This window comes from Homo sapiens, chromosome 17 (genome assembly GCF_000001405.40).
Source record: "Homo sapiens chromosome 17, GRCh38.p14 Primary Assembly".
Taxonomy (NCBI): domain Eukaryota; kingdom Metazoa; phylum Chordata; class Mammalia; order Primates; family Hominidae; genus Homo; species Homo sapiens.
Genome location: NC_000017.11, coordinates 9,404,826 through 9,426,464, shown reverse-complemented (window position 1 = coordinate 9,426,464; position 21,639 = coordinate 9,404,826). Strand labels below are relative to the sequence as shown.

The 21,639-nt window shown below is 42.9% G+C and overlaps 1 protein-coding gene across 4 annotated transcripts in view, besides 1 other annotated feature; it reads left to right on the top strand.

Moving 5' to 3' along the window:
* STX8 (syntaxin 8) overlaps window positions 1-21,639 on the top strand; it is a 325,350-nt gene that overhangs the window by 149,356 nt on the left and 154,355 nt on the right. The gene's annotated exons all lie outside the window — the stretch shown is intronic.
* Window positions 11,569-11,618: an enhancer, noted in NCBI's record as "active region_11725". NCBI's record gives its function as "activates an Ori minimal core promoter by ATAC-STARR-seq in GM12878 lymphoblastoid cells {active_cell/tissue: GM12878}" and the evidence as "EXISTENCE:reporter gene assay evidence [ECO:0000049][PMID:35858748]".

Here is a 21,639-nt window from a genome sequence, read left to right as displayed (position 1 = left end):
ACCTCTGCCTCCTAGGTTCAAGCAATTCTCCTGCCTCAGCCTCCCAGGTAGCTAGGACCACAGGTGCCGACCACCACGCCCAGCTAATTTTTGTATTTTTAGTAGAGACAGGGTTTCGCCATGTTGGCCAGGCTGGTCTCAAACTCCTGACCTCAGGTGATCCACCCACCTTGGCCTCCCGAAGTGTTGGGATTACAGGCGTGAGCCATCGTGCCTGGCCTTGGGCAGGTCTTGAGCTCTTACACTTAAGCAGTCCTCCTGCCTCAGCTTCCCCAAGTGCTAAGATTACAGGTGTGAGCCCCCACACTTGGCCCCCAGTTCTTTATTAGCATAGAATAAATCCTTCAAAACGTTGAAATTCAGCATTTTTGGGCTACTTAGGCATTGTATCAGATTAAAGACAGATTGTCTAGGTTCTAATTAACAGGGTGCTTTTTAGTGGTTGGCTGATCCTACTTGAGAAGAGAGAGACAGTTATTATAGGATGAAGGATGGGACTTTGGAGCCATGTTTCAGCTGTGTGTGTGTGCGCGTGCATACGTGCGTGCAAGAGAGAGATTGAGACTGGCTCATCTGTAGACGTCCAAGCCTTTAGATGTGTGTACTGAGCTTTTCTCTGGCCTGGGCTGAAGTCCCTAACTCCAATATGTGCTAGGGATCTGAGCTTGGAGGGACATTAGTGGACTATTTCAGATTGTCGTCCGTGCTTAGTAGAACCTGTGAAGCTGTACAGTTTGCCTGTCACTTAACTGGAAGAAAGAACTAAATGCTGTACCGCAATTATTTTGCAACTATTACTGAAGATAACATCTTAACACATTGAAATTTTGATCATGATGGATTGTAATGAACATTTTTTACATGGTTTGCTTTTCACCATGAAAACCTTTTGAGTGATAATATTTAAAGTCCGTGTCGTGCTCAGTAGCTCAATAGCTGGTAGCGATTATCATTAAGTGCAATTATTAAGTGGAGTGCCCCCACCTTGCTTCAGGTGTACCTCTTTATTTTAATGACAATCAAAAGAATCATGTCATTTACCATTCAGATATTAACAGTATACATAATTTATAAATACAAATAAATCATCATGTATTATATGATTAAAATGAATGAACCTGGACAGGAGCATGTGTGATAAGTTATTGAGATTTTTGTAAATCTGAAGTATTGAGATTTTTGTGACGTTACTGAGATTTTGTTGAACGATGACTACCTAGAAGGCATTCTTTCTCTGTACAGTGTTGGGTGATATAATGTAGTGTTTCAGACAAAAAGCCAGCTGATTAGAAAGAACATATTGACAAGAGGCCAGATTTGCTCATTATTTAATATAGAAGATTTGAAAAATATACTTTTTCTTAGTCAGAAACTGTGGCCTCTGTCCTACCCCATAAAAATCCTGGTCATTCATCAGTATCAGCCACAGGTGCTGCCTCATTCATGAATCTTTTCCTGAGTTTCCCCAATTGGAGATGATCTCTTCATCCTCTACACTCTGGCACTTTTAACCTCTCTTGTGTTACATGGTATTCTTTGCTTTGGATGATTTATAGTTATTTCTGAATTTGTTTTTTCTCTACTAAATTTCAAACTCCTTAAGGGAAGGGGACTGTCATATCTTTGCATCCTCGGAAGATATACAAAGTGCTTTGTACCTAGGCAGCACCAAGAAAGATGATATTCTCGATTTTGGATTGATTCCTCAGTTAAATCTGTTTGTAACTTTTTGAAGAAAATATACTACAAGTATCTACCATACCCCAGTGACCTGTTCAGAATGCTTGTATGAGAGAGCTGATTCTGTAACTCGAAGTTGATCAAGAATGGGCCAGGGCATGACCTGGAGGGAAGAGGAATAAGGATCTGGAAACCAGAGTGTCACAGTGGAAGAAGAGGGGATCGAGGGAGAATGGAGATCCTAACCAGAGGCAGGGGGAGGAAGGCCAGGCGCTGCACTTTAGGCAGGTGTAACACGAGGCCCCAGGCAGAGAGAGGGCCTGGAGGCAGGGTGAGTGAGTGTCTGTAGTGGGTTGACTGTTTGCCTGTTGACAGGGACCTTCAGCAGCAACTTTTGGGGCCTGAGGGAGAGGGTTGAAGGATAAACTGGTTGAGAAAGTAGGCAGGGCCCCAATCTTGCAGGGACCCAAAACCAAGCAGAACCTTAGGCCCCAGGGAACGAGGAATGCGTCAGTTCCCAGCACTGGGCGGATGCAAAAATGCCTGGCTGCCCGGCCACCCTGCTGTTATTCTCTTGTCAGGGCTCAGGACTGACAGCCAACCCAGCTTCATATCTTAGGGGGTCGCCCAGCCAGGGAACCCAAGGTGTTGCTAGAGTTGAGGGGTGGGAAAAATATGGTTGGAGCAGTTCTTTCACAGCCTGGGGTAGGTGGCAGTTTTATGAGGTCAACACATCTGGAAAATGTGTAGGGACCATCAGAATGCGTAGATAAACCCTACAAACCAACCTGTCATGGCTGACTTGTGTGCCGAAGCCTAAGTCACTGCCATACTGAACTCTGTGGCAGTAGAAGATTTGCAGTGTCCTGTGGCTGACAGATGTGGTATGCTTCTCAGTAATAATCAGCGGAAAACTAGGATTGCAACTCAGCCCGTGACTGATATGGACGGCGTCTTTAAAGATGGTCTGGTGCAGTGTCTAGCTTTCTGGCAGAAAAAATTCTAACCTGTGGCACAGTGTTTTTCTTTTATCTTTGGAGGATCACTGACCTGCAAGGGTAAGAAAATAAAGTAATTGAAAGCTCATAAAAAGACATAACTCATGTCAGTTTTCAACATAGCATTTTGCTTTGAATTTTCTTCCTTAAAAACATAACATTTGGCCGGGCACGGTGGTTCTCACCTGTAATCCCAGCACTTTGGGAGGCTGAAGCGGGCGGATGACAAGGTCAGGAGGTTGAGACCAGCCTTAACAACATGGTGAAACGCCATCTCTACTAAAAATACAAAAATTAGCTGGGCATGGTGGCGCATGCCTGTAATCCCAGTTACTCAGGAGGCTGAGGCAGGAGGATTGCTTGAACCCGGGAGGCAGAGGTTGCAGTGAGCTGAGATCGTGCCACTGCATTCCAGCCTGGGTGACAGAGAGAGAGACTCCGTCTCAAAAAACAACGACAACAAAAAATAACGTTTATTAGATTGCTTCCTCATTATTACTTCTAAAAACAGACTTATTAAGAAGAAAACAGACCATAGTTTCCTCATTTAGCTAACACTTATTGACAGTGCTAATAAGGAAATGCATATTTAAGGTTAGGAATTACAGATAGTGCAGAAAGGTACAAAATGAAAAGTGAACGTTTCTTTTGATTCTGGGGAAAGTGTTACCCAGATATGTATATATGCACTTATTTATGGGTTATTTTTTAAGGGGAAAGGAATATATACTACATGCATTGCATGCTTTTGCTTTTTTAGCCTAATTAATCCCAGAGATGCTTCTTTATCACCACGTACAGATTTACCTGATTCTTCTGAGGAGCTGCATGGTATTACGTAGTATGTGTTTGCTGTAATTTAACCAGTCCTCTAATGACAGACATTTATGTCCAGCATTTTTCTTCCCTAAACAGCGCTTCAGTGATCATTAATACAAGCTGATTTGGAAAATCGCCACTTCTGAAGGTAGATGGTATAAACTAGGGGTCAGCGAACCTTGTCACCAAAGGGCCAGATAGTAAGCTTTGTGGGCCAGGCCGTGTGATCTGTGTTGCAGCTATTCACCATTGCAGTTACAGTGCAAAAGCAGCCATTGCTGCAGAAACAGAATGTGGCATATCCATACAATGGAATGTTATTCAGCCATAAATAGGAATGAATACTGACACATGGAACAACACGGATGAACCTTGAAAACATCCTGCCAAGTGAAAGAAGCCGGACACAAAAGGCCACATATTGTATGATTCCATTTTTATGAAATATCTAGAACAGACGAATCCATGGAGCCGTAATTCAGATTGGTGATGCCAGGAACTAGGGAGAGGGGTGTATTAGTCCGTTCTCACATGCTGTAAAGAACTACCTGAGACGGCCTTGGCCAGGCATGGTGGCTCACACCTGTAATCCCAGCACTTTGGGAGGCCGAGGTGGGCAAATCACCTGAGGTCAGAAGTTCAAGACCAGCCTGGCCAAAACAGTGAAACCCTGTCTCTACTAAAAAAATACAAAAATTAGTCAGGTGTGGTGGCACACGCCTGTAATCCCAGTTACTGGGGAGGCTGAGGCAGGAGAATTGCTTGAACCCAGGAGGCAGAGGTTGCAGTGAGCCAAGATCGCGCCATTGCACTCCAGCCTGGGCAACAAGAGTGAAACTCTGTCTCAAAAAAAAAAAAAAAACTACTACCCGAGACTGGGTAAATTATAAAGAAAAGGGGTTTGATTGGGTCATGGTTCCACAGGCTCTACAGGAAGCATGGCTCGGCGAGGCCTCAGGAAGCTTAGAATCGTGGCAGAAGACAAAGGGAAAGCTGGCACGTCCTACATGGCCGGAGCAGGAGGAAGAGAGAACAAAGGGGGAGGTGCTCCGCTTTCAGACCACCAGATCTTGTGAGAACTCGATTGGAACAGCATGGGGGAAGTTCACCCCCATGATTCAGTCACCTCCCAACAGGCCCCTCCTTCAACATGTGGGGATTACAATTCGACATGAGATTTGGGTGAGGACACAGAGCCAAACCATGTCATGCGGCCATGGGGAGCAGCTGCTTAAGTGGTATGGGTTTCCTTTTGGAGTGAGGAAAGAAGAGTTTGAAACTAGATAGGGGTGGTGATTGTTCAGTGTTGCAGATGTACTAAATGCCACTGACTTGTTCAGTTTAAATTGGCCAATTTTATGTTATCTGAATTTCACCTCAATAAAAGAACACCTAGTTCACTCCCAGGAGCAGGGGAAAGGATAAAGCAGCCAGGGTCACCATGTAAAGGCATAAGCATGGCTGTATTCTGCTACATTGTATTATAAACCTTATTTACAGCAAGAGAAGGCATGCCTGCTCTGGCCTATATAATCTGCAAAAAAAAAAAAAAAAATTTTTTTTTTTTTTTTTTTTGAGATGGAGTTTTGCTCTTATTGCCCAGGCTGGAGTGCAGTGGCTCCATCCCGCCTCACTGCAACCTCTGCCTCGCGGGTTCAAGCGATTCTCCTGCCTCAGCCTCCCGAGTAGCTGGGATTACAGGCATGCGCCACCATGCCCGGCTAATTTCGTATATTTAGTAGAGACGGAGTTTCTCCATGTTGGTCAGGCTGGTCTCAAACACCCGACCTCAGGTGATCCGCCCGCCTCGGCCTCCCAAAGTGCTGGGATTACAGGTGTGAGCCACAGTGCCCAGCCAAAAAAAATTCTATAGTAATGCAAAGGTTAGATTAGGGATAGGTATAGGATTGAGATCCAAGGACTCAAGTTGGGGAAACGAATTTGGAGGTTATTGCAATAGTCCAGTTGCGTTTCTTCATTTCAAGGGAGGTCAGAGAGCCCGCTGAGAAACTGGTGGAACAATGGGACTCATCTCCATTTCCACCCCCTAATGTACTTAAAGGCACATGCACGTAAATGTTGCCTATGAAAATGACCGTCCACAATTCTAAGTTGAGAGACTCTCTTCTGGTTGGATAAAACGAGAGTGCAAACTCTCATCAATAGACGGAAGACTGAAAATAAGCCATTGGAATTTTCCAGTAAGTCACTGATGACCTCGGCAGGAACACTGTCCCCGTAATAATCGCGCCTCAAGCTCAGTTGTAGTGGGTTGTGAGTGTATGAGGATTCAAGTTGTGGGGGCAGAATTGTAGACTTAACCTCTCAAGAAGGTTGGTGTTGAAAGGAAGAAGGAAGCTTAGTAAGCATGAGCATGAAGGCTGGTTTAATAGAAGGGAGGGGTTGGAGCATGTCTATGGACTGAGAAACAGGCCAGAACCGAGAAGGTGAAGATGCGGGAAAGTGCTGTGGGCGGGCCACGGTGGCAGCAGATAGGCGAGGGTCCTCCCTGGAGAAGGAGAGGGGACATTTAGAATGGAACTGATAGGCACCTATAGGTAAGGTTACTGGTCGAAGGAAGAGAGCTAACTTGGCGGAGTCGTGCCCTTTAGGAAATAATTGATGAGAACACCTGCTGAGAAAAAGGGAGGTGGCTGTGGAGCCACGGGCTTAAGAGAACTGCAGAGGTTCAGGGCCGCTGCTGTGGGCAAGGATTTCTGAGTCCCTGGCGGCCGATGTTGAATATGATTGATGAGTTCTCAGGACTCCTTCAGTCAACGAATATTTCCTGAGTGCGGTCCCTGTGCCATGGGGTTACCCATCTAAGAATACACATTGAGCTCATGCTTTTCTAATTTTTCACCAAGAATGTTGTAAGAGAGACTGTGAGATGTGTGACTAATTCATCTAAACAGCCCAACACTAATATTACAGAATGGGTTTAAGTGGGTTCAGCAGATTGATTCTTGATAGTTTAACGCCACTGCACAATAAACCACAGTAGTTTAGTCAAATGAACAATGAGGGTAACTTTTACACAATTACTGAAAAGTTAGCCTATGCCAAAAGAAAAGGTTTCTACACAGATAATTTCCTATTTCCTCTGAAGTTTCCGTGAATCTTATGGGATTCTGCAGTTAGACTGGATATGTATTTCTGCTCACTCTTCTCACCACCTGTTTTGTTTGTTTTAAGTAAAATTCAGGTCCATAAGAGCAAAATAGAGCTCTATGGGCTCAGGAAACACAGTCTTCTCAGTGGAGGTTAAGTTTGGGGCCTCATCCTGAGGCCGTGACCGTTCATGGACCCAGTGACCAACTCTGCTAACAGAAAGGTTTTCACCATGCAATGTAAGAAGCTGTTGGAATTCCCAGATAGAGCATTCTCGATACTTAATATCTACCTCCCATTTGTTGTCCTTTTTGCTGTTGAAATTCAACTTCCACCCTTCTCTTGTGAATGATCCAACTGGTTCCATGTATTTTCTGGGATCTGTAGTCCACTCCCCAAAACACACCTTGTTAAAAAGGTGATTGATTTTAATTGGCCTCTTATAAGGTAAATTAAAAACCATTAATTCTAAATCAAAGCAATTAATGGTGGCTTATGCCTATACAGTCCCAGCTTACTTGGGAGGCTGAGGTGGGAGGATCACTTGAGGCCAGGAGTTTGAGATCACCTTGGGCGATCTCAACATAGTGAGACCCTGTGTCTAAGAAAAATTTTTTAAATAAAATAACGAACTGGGCATGGTGATACACACCTCTACTCCCAGGACTTTGGGAGGCTGAGGCAGGAGGCTCACTCGGGGCCAAGAGTTCTGGACCAGCCTGAACAACATAGTGAGACCCCTATTTCTACAAAACAATTTTTGAAAAAAATTAGGGATGATGGCACAGGTCTGTAGTCCCAGCTACTAAGGAGGCTGAAGTGGGAGGATTGCTTGAGCCCAGGAGGTTGAGGCTGTAGTGAACTGTGATGGTGCCACTGCACTCCAGCCTGGGTGACAGGGAGAGAGCCCATCTCTTTAAAAAAAAAAAAAAAAGAAAAAAAAAGAGGGGGGGGTGTGGGCAAAAAATGAAAGCATTCATTCTCAAATGTTCCTCTCCCTCCCCCTTCCCCCCCCCCTTTTTTTTTTTTTGAGACGGAGTCTTGCTCTGTCGCCCAGGCTAGAGTGCAGTGGCGTGATCTCAGCTCACTGCAAGCTCCACCTCCCACGTTCATGCCATTCTCCTGCCTCAGCCTCCCAAGTAGCTGAGACTACAGGCGCCCGCCACCACGCCCGGCTAATTTTTTGTATTTTTAGTAGAGACGGGGTTTCACGTGTTAGCCAGGATGGTCTCGATCTCCTGATCTCATGATCCGCCTGCCTCAGCCTCCTAAAGTGCTGGGATTACAGGCGTGAGCCACTGCACCCAGCCTTGTTTTTTTTTTTGTTTTTTTTTTTTTTTAGAAAAACGGAAAGAACATGGTAAAAGGGCATTCTCTGAGGAGAAAGTCCTTTGCCTTTAATTTCTTGAATAAATCCTCTTAGATTGTCTCTGCTGGCATGTTGTTAGAACCATCTCCTAATGGGGATGTATCCCACACTTACTGTTAGTTTTCGACTTTCACTGCCTATTAGAATCACCTTGAGAGTTTTAAAATCCTGATGCCTGATGTCTGGGCTGCACCCTATACCAATCAGAGGTTTTTCCCTCCTGACAACAAATATATGGGGACTTTTCCAATACCACGTCTCTGATTCCTTGCCACCACTTGGCTGTGCTACAGTCTGGTTCAATTCTGGCTCTAATTAGCATCAGACTCCACAGTTTGAAGGGCTCCGTCTCACAAGGCTGCCCTTACTTCAGATACCAGCTGCAAGCACTGGGTCTCCAGTTTACCCACACTTCTGTCCAACGTGGCTACAAACTGGAGGTTCCCACAATCTTCTACCAAGTTTGATGATTTGCTAGAACAACTCACTGAGCTCAGGAAAATGCTGTACTATTTTGTTACCAGGGATGCAAGGAACAGCCTGATGAAGAGGCACTTAGGGCAAGGTCCAGAAGTGTCCCCAGCACAGGAGCTCCTGTCCCCGTGGAGTGAGCATGCAACCCCCTTCTGGCACAGGGATGCATTTGCCTACTCAGAAGCTCTCTGAGTCCCATCATTTAGGGGTGTTCGTGGAGGTTCCATTACATAGGCATGATTGATTACATCGTTGGCCATTTGTGATTGACATCAGTCTCCAGTTTGTCTCACCACCTCAGAGGTTGGGTTTGGGGGCTAAGAGTTCCAACTCTGTAATCACATGGTTGGTTCCTTCTGGAGACCAGTCCCCATCCTGAAGCTATCTAGGGCCCCACTGAGGGTCACCTCATTAGCATAAACTCAGATATGTTTATGCTAGGGGCTTAACAAGGGGTTTTTTATGAATAACAAAAGACACTCCTATTAGTAAGGAAATCACAAGAGTTTTAGGAGCTTTGTGCCAGGAACTGGGGACAAAGACAAATAGATTTTTTATTATACCCCAACTAACTAAATCAGAATTTCTGGGAGTAGGAAACGGGCATCTGTAATTTTAAAGCTCCTCTAGGTGATTCCAGGGTGCATCTAACTTTGAGAAAAATCGTTCCTTGGCAATGGTTTTATAGGCTTAGCATTAAAGGAAAAAAATATACTAAAGCTTTGGCCCTAACTCTGTAATCATCTAACGTGTTCTTTTTGCCCACTACACAGACAAAACCAATTCACTGAGACAGCGTTATTGCAGTAGAGAAAGAGTTTAATGCAGAGCTAACCAAGCAGAAGGACAGAAGTTGATTACTCAAATCAGCTTCCCAGAAAGCTTGGTTTTTCAAGGATAGTTTGGTGGGCAGGGGCCTAAGTAATGGGTGCTGCTGATTGGCTGGAGAGGAACCCATAGGGGTGTGGAAAACAGTCTGTGTGCACTGAGTCAGCCTCTGGGTAGGGGGCCACAGGACCCGCTGAGTCATGAGTCACAGGTCTGGGTCAAGGCAGTTGGTTGCCAGAATGGAAAAATCTGAAAAAACATCTCAAAAGATCAATCTTGACTTCTACAATAATGATGTTATCTATAGGAACAATTGGGGTAGTTAGAAATCTTGTGACCTCCAAAACACTGGCTGGTTATCCTCTAACTGTGTACATTTTAGCAGAATTCAAGCCCCTTGCATAATCCTAATCTCATGGGATTTCATTAGTTTTTTTTCAAAGGTGGTTTCAGTCCCTGAGCAAGGAGGGGGTTTGTTTTAGGGAATAACTATTATCCTGGCTTAAAAATTAAACTGCAGGCCGGGCGTGGTGGCTCACATCTGTAATCCCAGCACTTTGGGAGGCCAAGGTGGGCAGATCACGAGGTCAGGAGTTCAAGGCCAGCCTGGCCAAGATGGCGAAATCCCGTCTCTACTAAAAATACAAAAATTAGCCGGGCGTGGTGGCATGTGCCTGTAATCCCAGCTACTCGGGAGGCCGAGGCAGAGAATTGCTTGAACCTGGGAGGTGGACGTTTCAGTGAACTGAGATCGTGCTACTGTACTCCAGCCTGGGCAACAGAGCGAGACTCCATCTTAAAAAAAAAAAAATTAAACTACAAACTAAATTCCTCCCATAGTTAATTTGGCCTGTGTCCAGGACTGAGCAAAGGACAGCCAGCCTGAGAGGCTAGAAGCAGGATGGAGTCAGCCATGCTACATTTCTCTCGATGTCATCATCTTTGCAAGGCAGTTTCACCCTAGTCCAATTAAGTTGGGATCTCTGAGAATGAAGCCTAGGTAAGGTATGACTTAAAATAACCCACATGCTTTTAATGTGCAACCAGGGCTGAGAAGCAGGTGTAAGGTAACAGGAAACCTTCACGTCAGCACAGCTCTGGAGACACTTGGAGATAGGGAATGAGAACTCAAGGGAAATGACTGCCTGGAGTGGCCCAAGTGGGGTTCATTATAAAGTTGTAAATAAATCCAGGAGAACTCATTACTGTTACAAGCAAGAGCAGCCAGGGCAAAGACGTGAGAAAACTCCAAAAGAAGAAGGGATGCCAGCATAGAAGCTGGAAATGGGTTAGTATGTTATTTTGGGATTTGTAGATGAGAGTTTCAAAGGCTGGGTGAACAGCCTATTTCAAAAGCCATGAAGAAGCTGGATAAGATGATACAGAAGAAAAGCCATTGCTTTTTGTTGTTGTTGTTGAGACGGAGTCTTGCCCTGTCAGTCAGGCTGGAGTGCAGTGGCGCAATCTTGGCTCACTGCAAGCTCCACCTACCGGGTTCACGCCATTCTCTTGCCTCAGCCTCCTGAGTAGCTGGGACTACAGGCGCCTGCCACCACGCCCGGCTAATTTTTTGTATTTTTAGTAGAGATGGGGTTTCACTGTGTTAACCAGGATGCTCAATCTCCTGACCTTGTGATCCTCCCGCCTCGGCCTCCCAAAGTGCTGGGATTACAGGAGTGAGCCACCGCACCCGCCGAAAAGCCATTGCTTTTGTAACAGTCATGTCCCAGGGTCATTGATGGGTTCACTAGAGTATGTAGAGTAGAAGCCAGGTTCTAGGACCTTATTTGAGGCTACAGATACCAGGAACTTGTTAATGAAAGAAAGGTGCAAACTAACACAGGAGAAAACTAGGGAGGGCGTCAACATCAAGTGAAGGATCTTGAGGTTTCATTTTATAATTAGTTTATGACACAAGGAGAGGACCCCAGGCTGATGTGTTTAAAGGCAGAAGGAAAGGTGCCTGGAGAAAGGAAAAGAGGTTTGAAGATGCTAGAAAAAGAGGCTGTTGTCCACCAACCTTGTTACAACTGTGTGTTGAGGCCTATTGTCCTTCCTCAGGCTGTGGGATGGGGTGGAATGCAGAACTCAGGCAGACCGGGCGTGGTGGCTCACACCTATAATCCCAGCACTTTGGGAGGCCGAGGCGGGTGGGCCACCTGAGGTCAGGAGTTCAAGACCAGCCTGGCCAACATGGTGAAACCCCATCTCTACTAAAAATACAAAAATTAGCTGGGCATGGTGGCGGGTGCCTGTAATCCCAGCTACTCGGGAGGCTGAGGCAGGAGAATCGCTTGAACCCAGGAGGTAGAGGTTGCAGTGAGCCAAGATGGTGCCACTGCACTCCGGCCTGGATGACAAGAGAGAAACTCCAACTCAAAAAAAAAAAAAAAAAAAAAAAAGCAGAACTCAGGTATCAGTTTCCAAACAAAGCAAGTATCAAAAGCTGTGTTTTGTGACTGGGTGAGAAAGAAGACCCAAAACAGACACAAACAGATTTGTGCCTGACTGGTTCTTGTGGTTGACCCTGGGTAGAGCGGTCTCACCCTGTGACACCTGGGTGTCAGCTTTAGTTCTCACTGAGTACCTCAGACAGTTTACTCTGTCAACTCGACTTCACACAAGTCCCCTAGCCCAAAGCATGGTTATGAGACAAGTGCCTGTCCTTGAGCTGTTTGTTACCAGTTTGCAATGAGGTAAGTATGACATTGAGAATAAGAATTCAGACTTTTATAACATTTGGTGTTGCCATGACATCCAGTTATACTGTTAATGGGCTTAAAAATTTAATTTTCCTAGTAAATCATTTTTGTTGTATTTTGCAAAAGCTTTTGTCTGTGACACATTGAAAATGAAAAAAAAAAAGTTCTGCACCACAGAGAGTTTGAGAAGCAGTGTTCCAGCCCTTTCCCTCCAATTTGACTGATGCTCTGTGCCTTTCTTAGGGAAATTCTGTAGCTACCACTTACCTTCACTCAGGAGTCTGTGCTGGATTTTCGCCACCTCTTGGATGCTGGCATTTGCTTTCATGGATGGATGGATGGATGGATGGATGGTTGGATGGATGGATGGATGGATGGATGGATGGATGGATGGATGGATGGACAGATGGGTGGATGGATGGATGGACAGACGGACGGGCAGATAGATGGTTGGATGGATGGATGGATGGATGGACAGATGGGTAGGTGGGTGGATGGATGATTTGTTGGATAGATAGGTGGATGGTTGAGTGGATAGGTGGGTGGGCGGATGGGTGGATGGACGGTTAGATGGACGGATGGATGGATGGATCGATGGATGGATCGATAGATGCATACATACTTACATACGTACATATATTTGTGGCTGTCCCTGCAAGTTTTTTTCCGTTGAGGTATACACGAGCACAGCCCTCCATCTGTGTTGGCAGTCAGCTTCTCACAGTTACACTTGGCCCCACTTTCACTCAGAAGCCCTTGTTCTCTGGCTTCTTTGTATTCACCTATTTATTCTGTGGATATACATAGTGTTGGGGTAGTGGAAACACTGGAAGCTTGGCAGTAGTTTCTCAAGGATTGAAGCTTGTTTCTTTAGATCTGAGGTAGATATGACTAGGGGGAAAAACAATGGAGAGATAAAGGCTACCATTGAAAACCCTTAGCTCCTATCTGTGCAATTACAATCTGATGCTCAGGAAGCCCTTTTCTGGGTGCACAAATGTAAATAACCTACAAGTCTTGAGAAACAGGTCTCCTTTACGTTCACAGCTGTGTTCCTAAGAATTCCCAAGAATCACAGCTCCATGTCCCCCAGCTACCAGCCTAGGTTGTTGGCCTCTCTGTCCACATTTTACCTTTGGGCAGTGCTTGCCAGTTGATGTGCAATAACAGAGTAGGGGTGTTGAACTGCCATTCTCTCTGTCTCCAGTGAAAAGACCCACTTAGCCCTGGTCAGTCTGCCTGTGAGCAAAGAATTTCCTACTCATAACAGATTGGGTGAGTTCTGCTCCCTGGTGTTGCTCCTGGCCGGTCTTCCACCACTGGCCTAGTTCAGCTCCCTGTTACATCTCAGTGCTATTGCACAGCCTCCTTTCTGGTATTTTTTTCTCTAGTAAGCTTCTTGAGGGTCAGGGTTGTATCTCCATCAGTCAGTCATTCTTATACATCTAGGACTTAGCCCAATGCCTAACACATAGTGTCCAGTTACTATTAAATAGGCACCCTTTGTCCTATTGCAACTTTTCTTCCTAAAGCAAACATCTAATCATGTTCGGAAATTCTCATGATTTTTTTCTTTGATTACGTCCTTTCTCTACTTCCTCTACACCCCTCAATCTATAGTTCAGCAGTTCTCAACCTATTTTTATCATCTTCTATCAGAACTCTAAAGACGAATTATATTTACATGCAGAGAGCACTCTGTGAACAAATATGTATTTTGACAGAAACTCTTAAATGCTGAAGGGAATGAGGGCTCTGAGATAATGTCGAGGGCACATCAGTTATGGTGATCTATGGCATAGGATGGAGAGCCTGGGTGTGGGGGAATGCACATGAGTAACTTCCATTTTAGGGTAACTTCCACTCTGCTTTATTTAAAATAATTTTCAAAATTTGCTCCTGTGAGGCCGGGTGTGGTGGCTCACGCGTGTAATCCCTGCACTTTGGGAGGCCGAGATGGGCGGATCACCTGAGGTCGGGAGTTTGAGACCAGCCTGACCAACATGGAGAAAACCTGTCTCTACTAAAAATACAAAATTAGCTGGGTGTGGTGGTGCATGCCTGTAATCCCAGCTACTCGGGAGGCTGAGGCAGGAGAATCACCTGAACCTGGGAGACAGAGGTTGCAGTGAGCTGAGATTGTGCCATTGCACTCCAGCCTGGGCAACAAGAGCAAAACTCCGTCTCAAAAAAAAAAAAAAATTGCTGCTGTGATTAGTTACAAGTCACTTTAAGTGTTGATTTTGAACCAATTTTAGATTTATAGAAAAGTTGCAAAAATAATGCAAAGAGCTTTCTTATTTCCCTCACCCTAGTTTCCCTAATATTAACATCTTACCACTGTGTTCCTTGGACTATGTATTTGTGTATTTTTTAATCCTCCGTCAACTCAAGTTGACTGAATACTCACTTTTTACTACTAGGACTTTAATATTTAATTGAATAATGACAAAGATATTTAACTTTTGAGACTTTTGAGTTCCATGTACTTGTATTCTTTTATAGCTTGTCTATACCACTTTTAGTACAGTGACTTCCAACATTTTTAGATCATGCATCCCATTAGTAGGAATTATGAGCAACCCTCTCGAATATTTTTATAATTGTATCTGAAAAATTATATATACTACTGTTCTATATATTAGGTTGCTTCTAAAAAGGCTGAGAGATTAAGAAGTAAATGCAGCATATTAATGGAAATTTTAGTATTTTCTTTCCACATTCCAGTGAATCATCTTGTACACCCAAGTTTGCAGATTATTGGCTTGAATTACGATTTTGGCTTAAAATTCTCCCTCCCTTCCTGACAGAAATGGAACCTAGTGAGGAAACGATCCTGTTATGTATATTGTTTTAACATTGATTATCCCGGACTATGTAACATAGGAATTTTCCGATGTGCAATTTGGAAACAGCTGAACTGCTTTTGAGAATTTTACAAACCAAGTTTACTTGAAAACTTTGTGATTAATTAGGCAAAACAATTTCTCTTAAAGCAAAGCTATGGACTGTGTTTTTCCTGGTGTTGAGAACATTCGTTTTATAGCCAGGGATTTTAGAGTCTTCATGCTACAACAAAGGCTTTTTTCAGATCTAAGCACAGTATGAAAAATAAGACACTTTGCAAGGTGCTTGGGAAAGTTCTAAGCAGCTCCCAAGTGGGGAAGCCTTTGTTCTGGAGGAAGAGGCCTGAATTCAAGGGTTAATCAGAGAGACATTGAGAACATCATTCACTGCTAGTATAGGTCAGAGAGAAAAGTTCACATCTGGGTGTTACTGACCACCAAGCACTTTCTTGTGGTCCTTTCAGAAGTGATATATTGTTAAGTATCCCAAGAGTACAAACCTCTAGGGTAGATTTATTGGAGGAAAATGCTCCTTGTCCACATGATAAAGTATATATTTGTTTGCCTTGAAACACAGGTAGGTAAGAATTATGGACTTTGCAGTGGTTGTTATTTGAGCAAATAATGCTAACAAGTAATACTTCCTAAGTGTTCAAATTAGCACCTAACACAGTGCCTGGTGTATTGTAAATGTTTGTTGATTGCCCATTGAGTAAATGAGTTGAGATTTTTTGAGACTACGTGGTTTTGCTTTGTAATCATTTGTTAAACTGTACACATAAGTTTTGCTTTTCTCTTCGTATGTTACATTTCATGATAATGTTTTTAAACATTTTAGGAAAAAAATGTAATGAAGTTAATACATGGAGTTTGTTTCTTTTAGAAGTTTATGGATAATATGCTTACATTTCTTTTGTCAAGTTGAAACGTAAACATTAGAGTGTTTGCTTGTCAACACATGGAATTTGGTAATTAATTTATATTTGGAAAACCCATTCCGATTTTGAACATTTGAAAGATCAAGGTTTCCAAGTTTATCTTGCTAACAGCCAAGAACAGCTGCACTATGCGTAGCTTTTCAGATGGCTTCTCTGTGACATCTGTGAAGATAGACAACTCCAGTAACTGAGCGTGCCTGATTGCATGGCACGTTACCGCGTTTTATGACGTGTGGGAGCCAGTCTCCACTGTAATGGAAGAGAAATGCCGATTTGTACAAAAACACTTATTTGACTTAAATTTAAGCTCTATTAGATAATGAATGTTAAGGAAGGAAACGTACAATTTTAGCAAAAAGTGTAAAATTTGCTATTTAATTTTTACTTATACATGCTTTGAGAATAAACAGATGATTCTTTATCAGCAGATATAATTTGAAATAGAAATTAACTCAATCATAAGCAATGATGACTTATCTGGTAGTGATGTTATGACCATCATTAGTCAGGAATAAAAGAGAAATTCAGAATCCATGCCATTCATGCAAGCATGAAACAGAGTGGAAGATATTTGGGTGGGATGAAGGTGGAGGGAGCAACAGCTGTACAGCCATCGCATTTGTCTGTTCTCTTGCCAAAGCAGTTTTTGGATTTCTTGCCCTTGCATTCCATTTCTCCCTCCCCCACCCCCAATCCTTTCGTACTTACGATTCATAGGAAAAGACAAGATCAATCTTTTAAAAATCAGCTGGCTAATTAGAGGTGACCATAGGGCAGTTTCTAAGTTTATAGATGTTCCGATGATTAACTGTGGCAAAGGAGATTTCTCTTACTTTTGTACAGACTGTTTTAGTTTTCACTAATAAAAGCATTCACAAGGGAGGAACCACTGACCTGGCTTTTTTTCCCCCCAGTGCTTCCAATTAGGGATCTATTATCTCATTCCAGATAATTGGAAAAGGATATTCAAAACACGACTTCATGTAAATATGGTTTTTGCCTGCATTACATTACTAGGAGTTCTGAACACATCTGGAGCGAAGGCGGCCTCAGGGACATTAAAGTGTGCTGTTTTGGTTGGCACAGTGACATAATAGTATATGCCAATTTGTAATGGCTTTTGGAAACAGGCAGTTTTAAACTCTCCCTGAACGATTCCCCTGAGAAATTATTCAATTAAGTACAACTAAAATTAATGTTTAGCATTTTTTGTTTAAATAAAATAGGCGGCTATAAAGGGAAATCCGTGATTCATGCTGTATTCTTCTCATTTAACTCCAAAATCAAGCTCCTAAGACATAATTGAGTGTCCTGGAATCAGTGCCTTTTCCAGAAGATACATAGTTGCCAGATTCTCCTTAGCACTTTCATAGTATACAAATGATTCTGTTACTATCTAGACAGCTTTAAACACCAGGTGTTTGCCTAGTTTCTACGCCTGCAGGCACCACGGGGGAAGGCAGAAACCGGAAAGACTCCTTTCTCTCCTAAGTTGGTGCTTCCCAAACTTAATGGGCATAGGTGATATCTTGTTAAAATGAAGATTTGATTTGTTAGATTTGAGGTGTGGAGCCTGAGATTCTGCATGTCTAACCAGCTCTGGTGGGGGCGGGGGCAGGGGGTTGGGCAGTGGCTGCTGCTGGCTGAGTACCATACTTGGAATAGAGAGGTTCTGAGCAGTAGGGGGGGTAGGGAGAACCTGGGCTTAACTCTGATTTCCAGTTTGTGGCTTGGCCTGAGTGCATTCCAGTAGGTACGATTCTTTCTTCTGTTCCTAGTGCACGTCTGTCCTAATTTCTCAGAATCCCCAGTTCTCCTGGACCTGCATAGGACCCTCACGTAGACTTAGGACCCTCACGTAGACTTTTCTGGAAGAGGATGTTTCTGATTCATTAATCACAGGTGTAATGGCTTCCGTTTTTGTTACATGTCTTCCTGAAATCCAGATACATTGTCTACCCCATTTTCTCTGTTCCATCTTTTTGTAGCTGTGTTATAAAGAAAAAAGTTAACCTGTCATTCCTTAGTCTATGTTACTAAACACGTAGGCCAGAGCCCTGGTGAGTGAAAGGATGTATGAGTAAGCATGGCTTTGTGGTTTTTATCCAAGCATCATTACTTCCAAGGTTTGGCTTCTCAGCTCTTAGGTCCAGAACTTTGATGGTCAGTTTACTCAAGGGTGGTCTGATTGAGACATGGCTAAAAATCCACACTAGGTGAAAGCTCTTGAAAGACTGATTCATAACCCAGGGTGGTTTTTATCCATATATGAGATGGTATTCTACAAGAAAGACTATGATGTTCATGACTCCCTCACTGGCTATCCCTTTCCTGGGGATAACTAATTTATAGTTGGAGAATTACTAGATGGATAAAGATTGAGACATCCTTATAGTGACCAACGCTTACACCCTTCTGATCTTCCCGCCACAAATGGAGTCCAAAGCGCTGTTTCCTCCATTCAGTATGGTGTTCGCCAGACATTTGAGAACTAAACTCTGATTTTTTTATCTTGCCCAAATTCCTATATAAGGGGTCTGGGGAGTCATGCCCCATAAATCATAAATTCTCATCAGACGGGTTTTATTTTTATATATATCGTGACTTAACTTTCCAACCTGCCTCTGGCGTAACATTACAAGACAAGGAAGAAAATCAAAATATTTTACCCCAAAACATGTTTCTTTGCCATATTTTGAAATGGCCCTGCAAAGCTGTTCCTTGTGGGGGGAACATTTGCATCTGTAAAAATCTCCATTAACATAGCTAGACCTTCTTTTTCCAGACCCTCCCAATCCTAAAGAGATTAACTAAGATCTGAATAGGAAACATTTGTCATCTCTTGTCTCTAAGGGCAGCTACTGTAAGACTTCAGAAGAACTTTGGTCTCCACAGTCTTTATCTTAACCTGAATATTTGCTGTCTATCAATCCCAGGTCTTTAGACAAACTCAACCAATTGTCAACCAGAAAAAGTTTAAATTCACCCATAGCCTGGAAGCTGTCCCGCCCCCTCCAACCCCACCCCCTGCTTTGAGTTGTCCCGCCTTTCTGGACCAAACCAATGTATTTCTTAAATGTGTTTGATTGATGTTTTATGCCTCTCTAAAATGTATAAAACCAAGCTGCACCCCAACCACCTTGGGCACATGTTCCCAGGATCTCCTGAGGGCTGTGACACGGCCATGGTCACTCATATTTGGCTCAGAATAAATCCCTTCAAATATTTTACAGAGTTTGACTCCTTTTGTCAACACATTTCTATTGTTTGGTTGTGGTTTTTGTTGTTGTTTTTAATTCAAGCTCTCCTTCTTTTTGTCTATGGTTTGTTTTTTCTATCTCCCTCCTATTCTTTGTAAAATACGGTGCTGGGGCCAGGTGGGGTGGCTCATGCCTTTAATCCCAGCACTTTGGGAGGCCAAGGCAGGGGGGATCACTTGAGATTAGGAGTTCGACACCAGCTTGGGCAACATAGCAAGACCCCGTCTCTATTTTAAAAGTCACATATATTAAAAATATAGTTCTGATCATGGCATTTGCTTGCAAAAACTTTCCAGTGCTTCTTCATTGCCGAAGCAGTGCTTCTGAGGCCTTCGTGATTTCTTTCATATTGACCTGTTTATTATTCAGTTAACATTCTTCTTTGGACTTAATTTTTTAAAATTTAATTTTCACTTTTATCAGAATAATACCTCTGAATAGTATGAACAATCAGAATTAGGCAGCTTAGGAGAAGCAGCTCTCTTCATCAGCCCTCCTTGCCTCCAAGTCTTACCCCTCAGAACCAGTGCTTATGATTCTTTTAGTGGTTTATGGTAAAGTGTCTATAGTCCAATATACACTTGACCCGGGAGCTATGCAGCTCCACTTATACATGGATCTTTTTCAATAAACATATTGGAAAAATTTTTTGGAGATTTGTGACAATTTGAAAAAACTCTCAGATGAATTGTATAGTCTAGAAACACTGAAAATTTTTAAGAAAAAGTTAGCTACGTAAAAATGCTAAAAATATATGCAGATGCTCATCTATTTTATCATTTGCTACTATAAAATATACACAGATCTACTTGCAAAGTTAAAATTTATCAAAACAGATGCACACAAACACAGATCATGTATGGCATCCTTCACAGTGGACAGAAATGTAAACAAATGGAAAGATGCAGTATTAAATCATGCTGCACAAAATGAACTGTAGAGCATACTGTGATAATGTAGTAATTTCATAGTCACCTCCTGTTGCTATTGAGGCAAGCTCAGATGCTGTGAGTATCCACTTAAAATGCTGCTCTATGATGTTAATCATCTCTGCCTGAGCAGTTATCGCTCCAGTAAATTGTATACCACAGTACAAAAAAAGTGGCCCCTTGAACTTCTCTCTTATTTTTTGTGTTTAGTGCAATAATATAAACACTGAACAACACCATGGGACCCATACAATGTGATACTAGTGATTCACCCTGGAAATGCTCCCAAGAAGTAAAGTTATGACATTACAAGGAAAAGTTGAATTGCTTGCCATGTACTGCAGACTAAGGTCTGCAGCTACAATTGCCCACAATTTCAAGATAAATAAATCCATCATAAGGATAATTATAAGAAAAGGAAATACATGAAGCCGTCACTGCAGCTATGCCAGCAGGTGCAAAATCCTTGCACTTATACCTTTTAATCTCATATTGAAAATGCAGCTATTCTGTAGTGCAGGATTGCTATAAGAAAGGCATATCTATACACGCTAATGTGATCTGAGAAAAAGCAGTGTCATTCTATGACAACTTAAAGCAAAAGGAAAGTGAAGGATCTGATCTAAAGCTGGAGAATTTAATGCCAGTAACGGATGGTTTGATAATTTCAGAAAGAGGTTTTGTTTGAATCATGTCAAGATAGTAGGTGAAGCAACTTCCATCAACCAAGAGGCAGCAGACAAGTTCCAAGATGTCATTAAGAAAATTATCAAGGAGAAAGTATATCTGCCTGACAGATTTTCATTGCAAGTGAGTGACCAATTCTGGTGGGGGGAAAAGCCAAACATGACATTTACTAGTAAGGAAAAGAATCAAGCATCAGAATTTAAGGCAGGAAGGGTTAAGCTAACTCTACAGTTTTGTGCAAATGCATTTGGGCTTATGATCAGGACTGCCCTTATATCTAAAGCTGCTAACCTCCAAGCCTTGAAGCAAAAAGTTGCTCATCTTTTCGTTGTACAAGAAGGCCTAGAAAACAAGAGCCCCTTTTCCAGATCGATTTCATTGATGCTTTGTCCCTGAAGTCAGGGAGTACCTTACCAGTAGGGGACTGCCTTTTAAAGTTCTTTTGATACTGGACAATGCCCATGGCCATTCAGAACCCCAAAGGTTCAACACTGAAGGCATCAATGTGTTCTACTTGCTTCCAAACCCAAGGTCTCTAATTCAGACTCTAGATCAGGGGGTCACAAGGACCTTTAAGTCTCATTACACGTGGTACTCTACAGAAAGGATTGCCAATGCTATGGAAGAGAACCCCGATAGAACATCTTGAAAGTCTAGAATAATGACACCATTGAAGATGCTATTGTTATGACAGAAAAAGCTATGGAAGCCATCAAGCCCAAAACAATAATTTCCTGCTGGAGAAAACTGTGTCCAGATGTAGTACATGACTTCACAAGATTTACAACAGAGCCAAACAAAAAAATCATGAGAGAGACTGTGGAGAGGCCAAAAAAAAAAATTGGGGATGTGGGTGGAGGTTGAAGGGTTTCAAGATAGGGATCTTGGAGAAAATCAAGAGCTAACAGACACCACACCAGAGGAATTAACATAAGTTGACCTGATGGAGATGTCTGCTTCCAAACCAGTGCCAGACAACGAGGAAGAAGACATAAAAG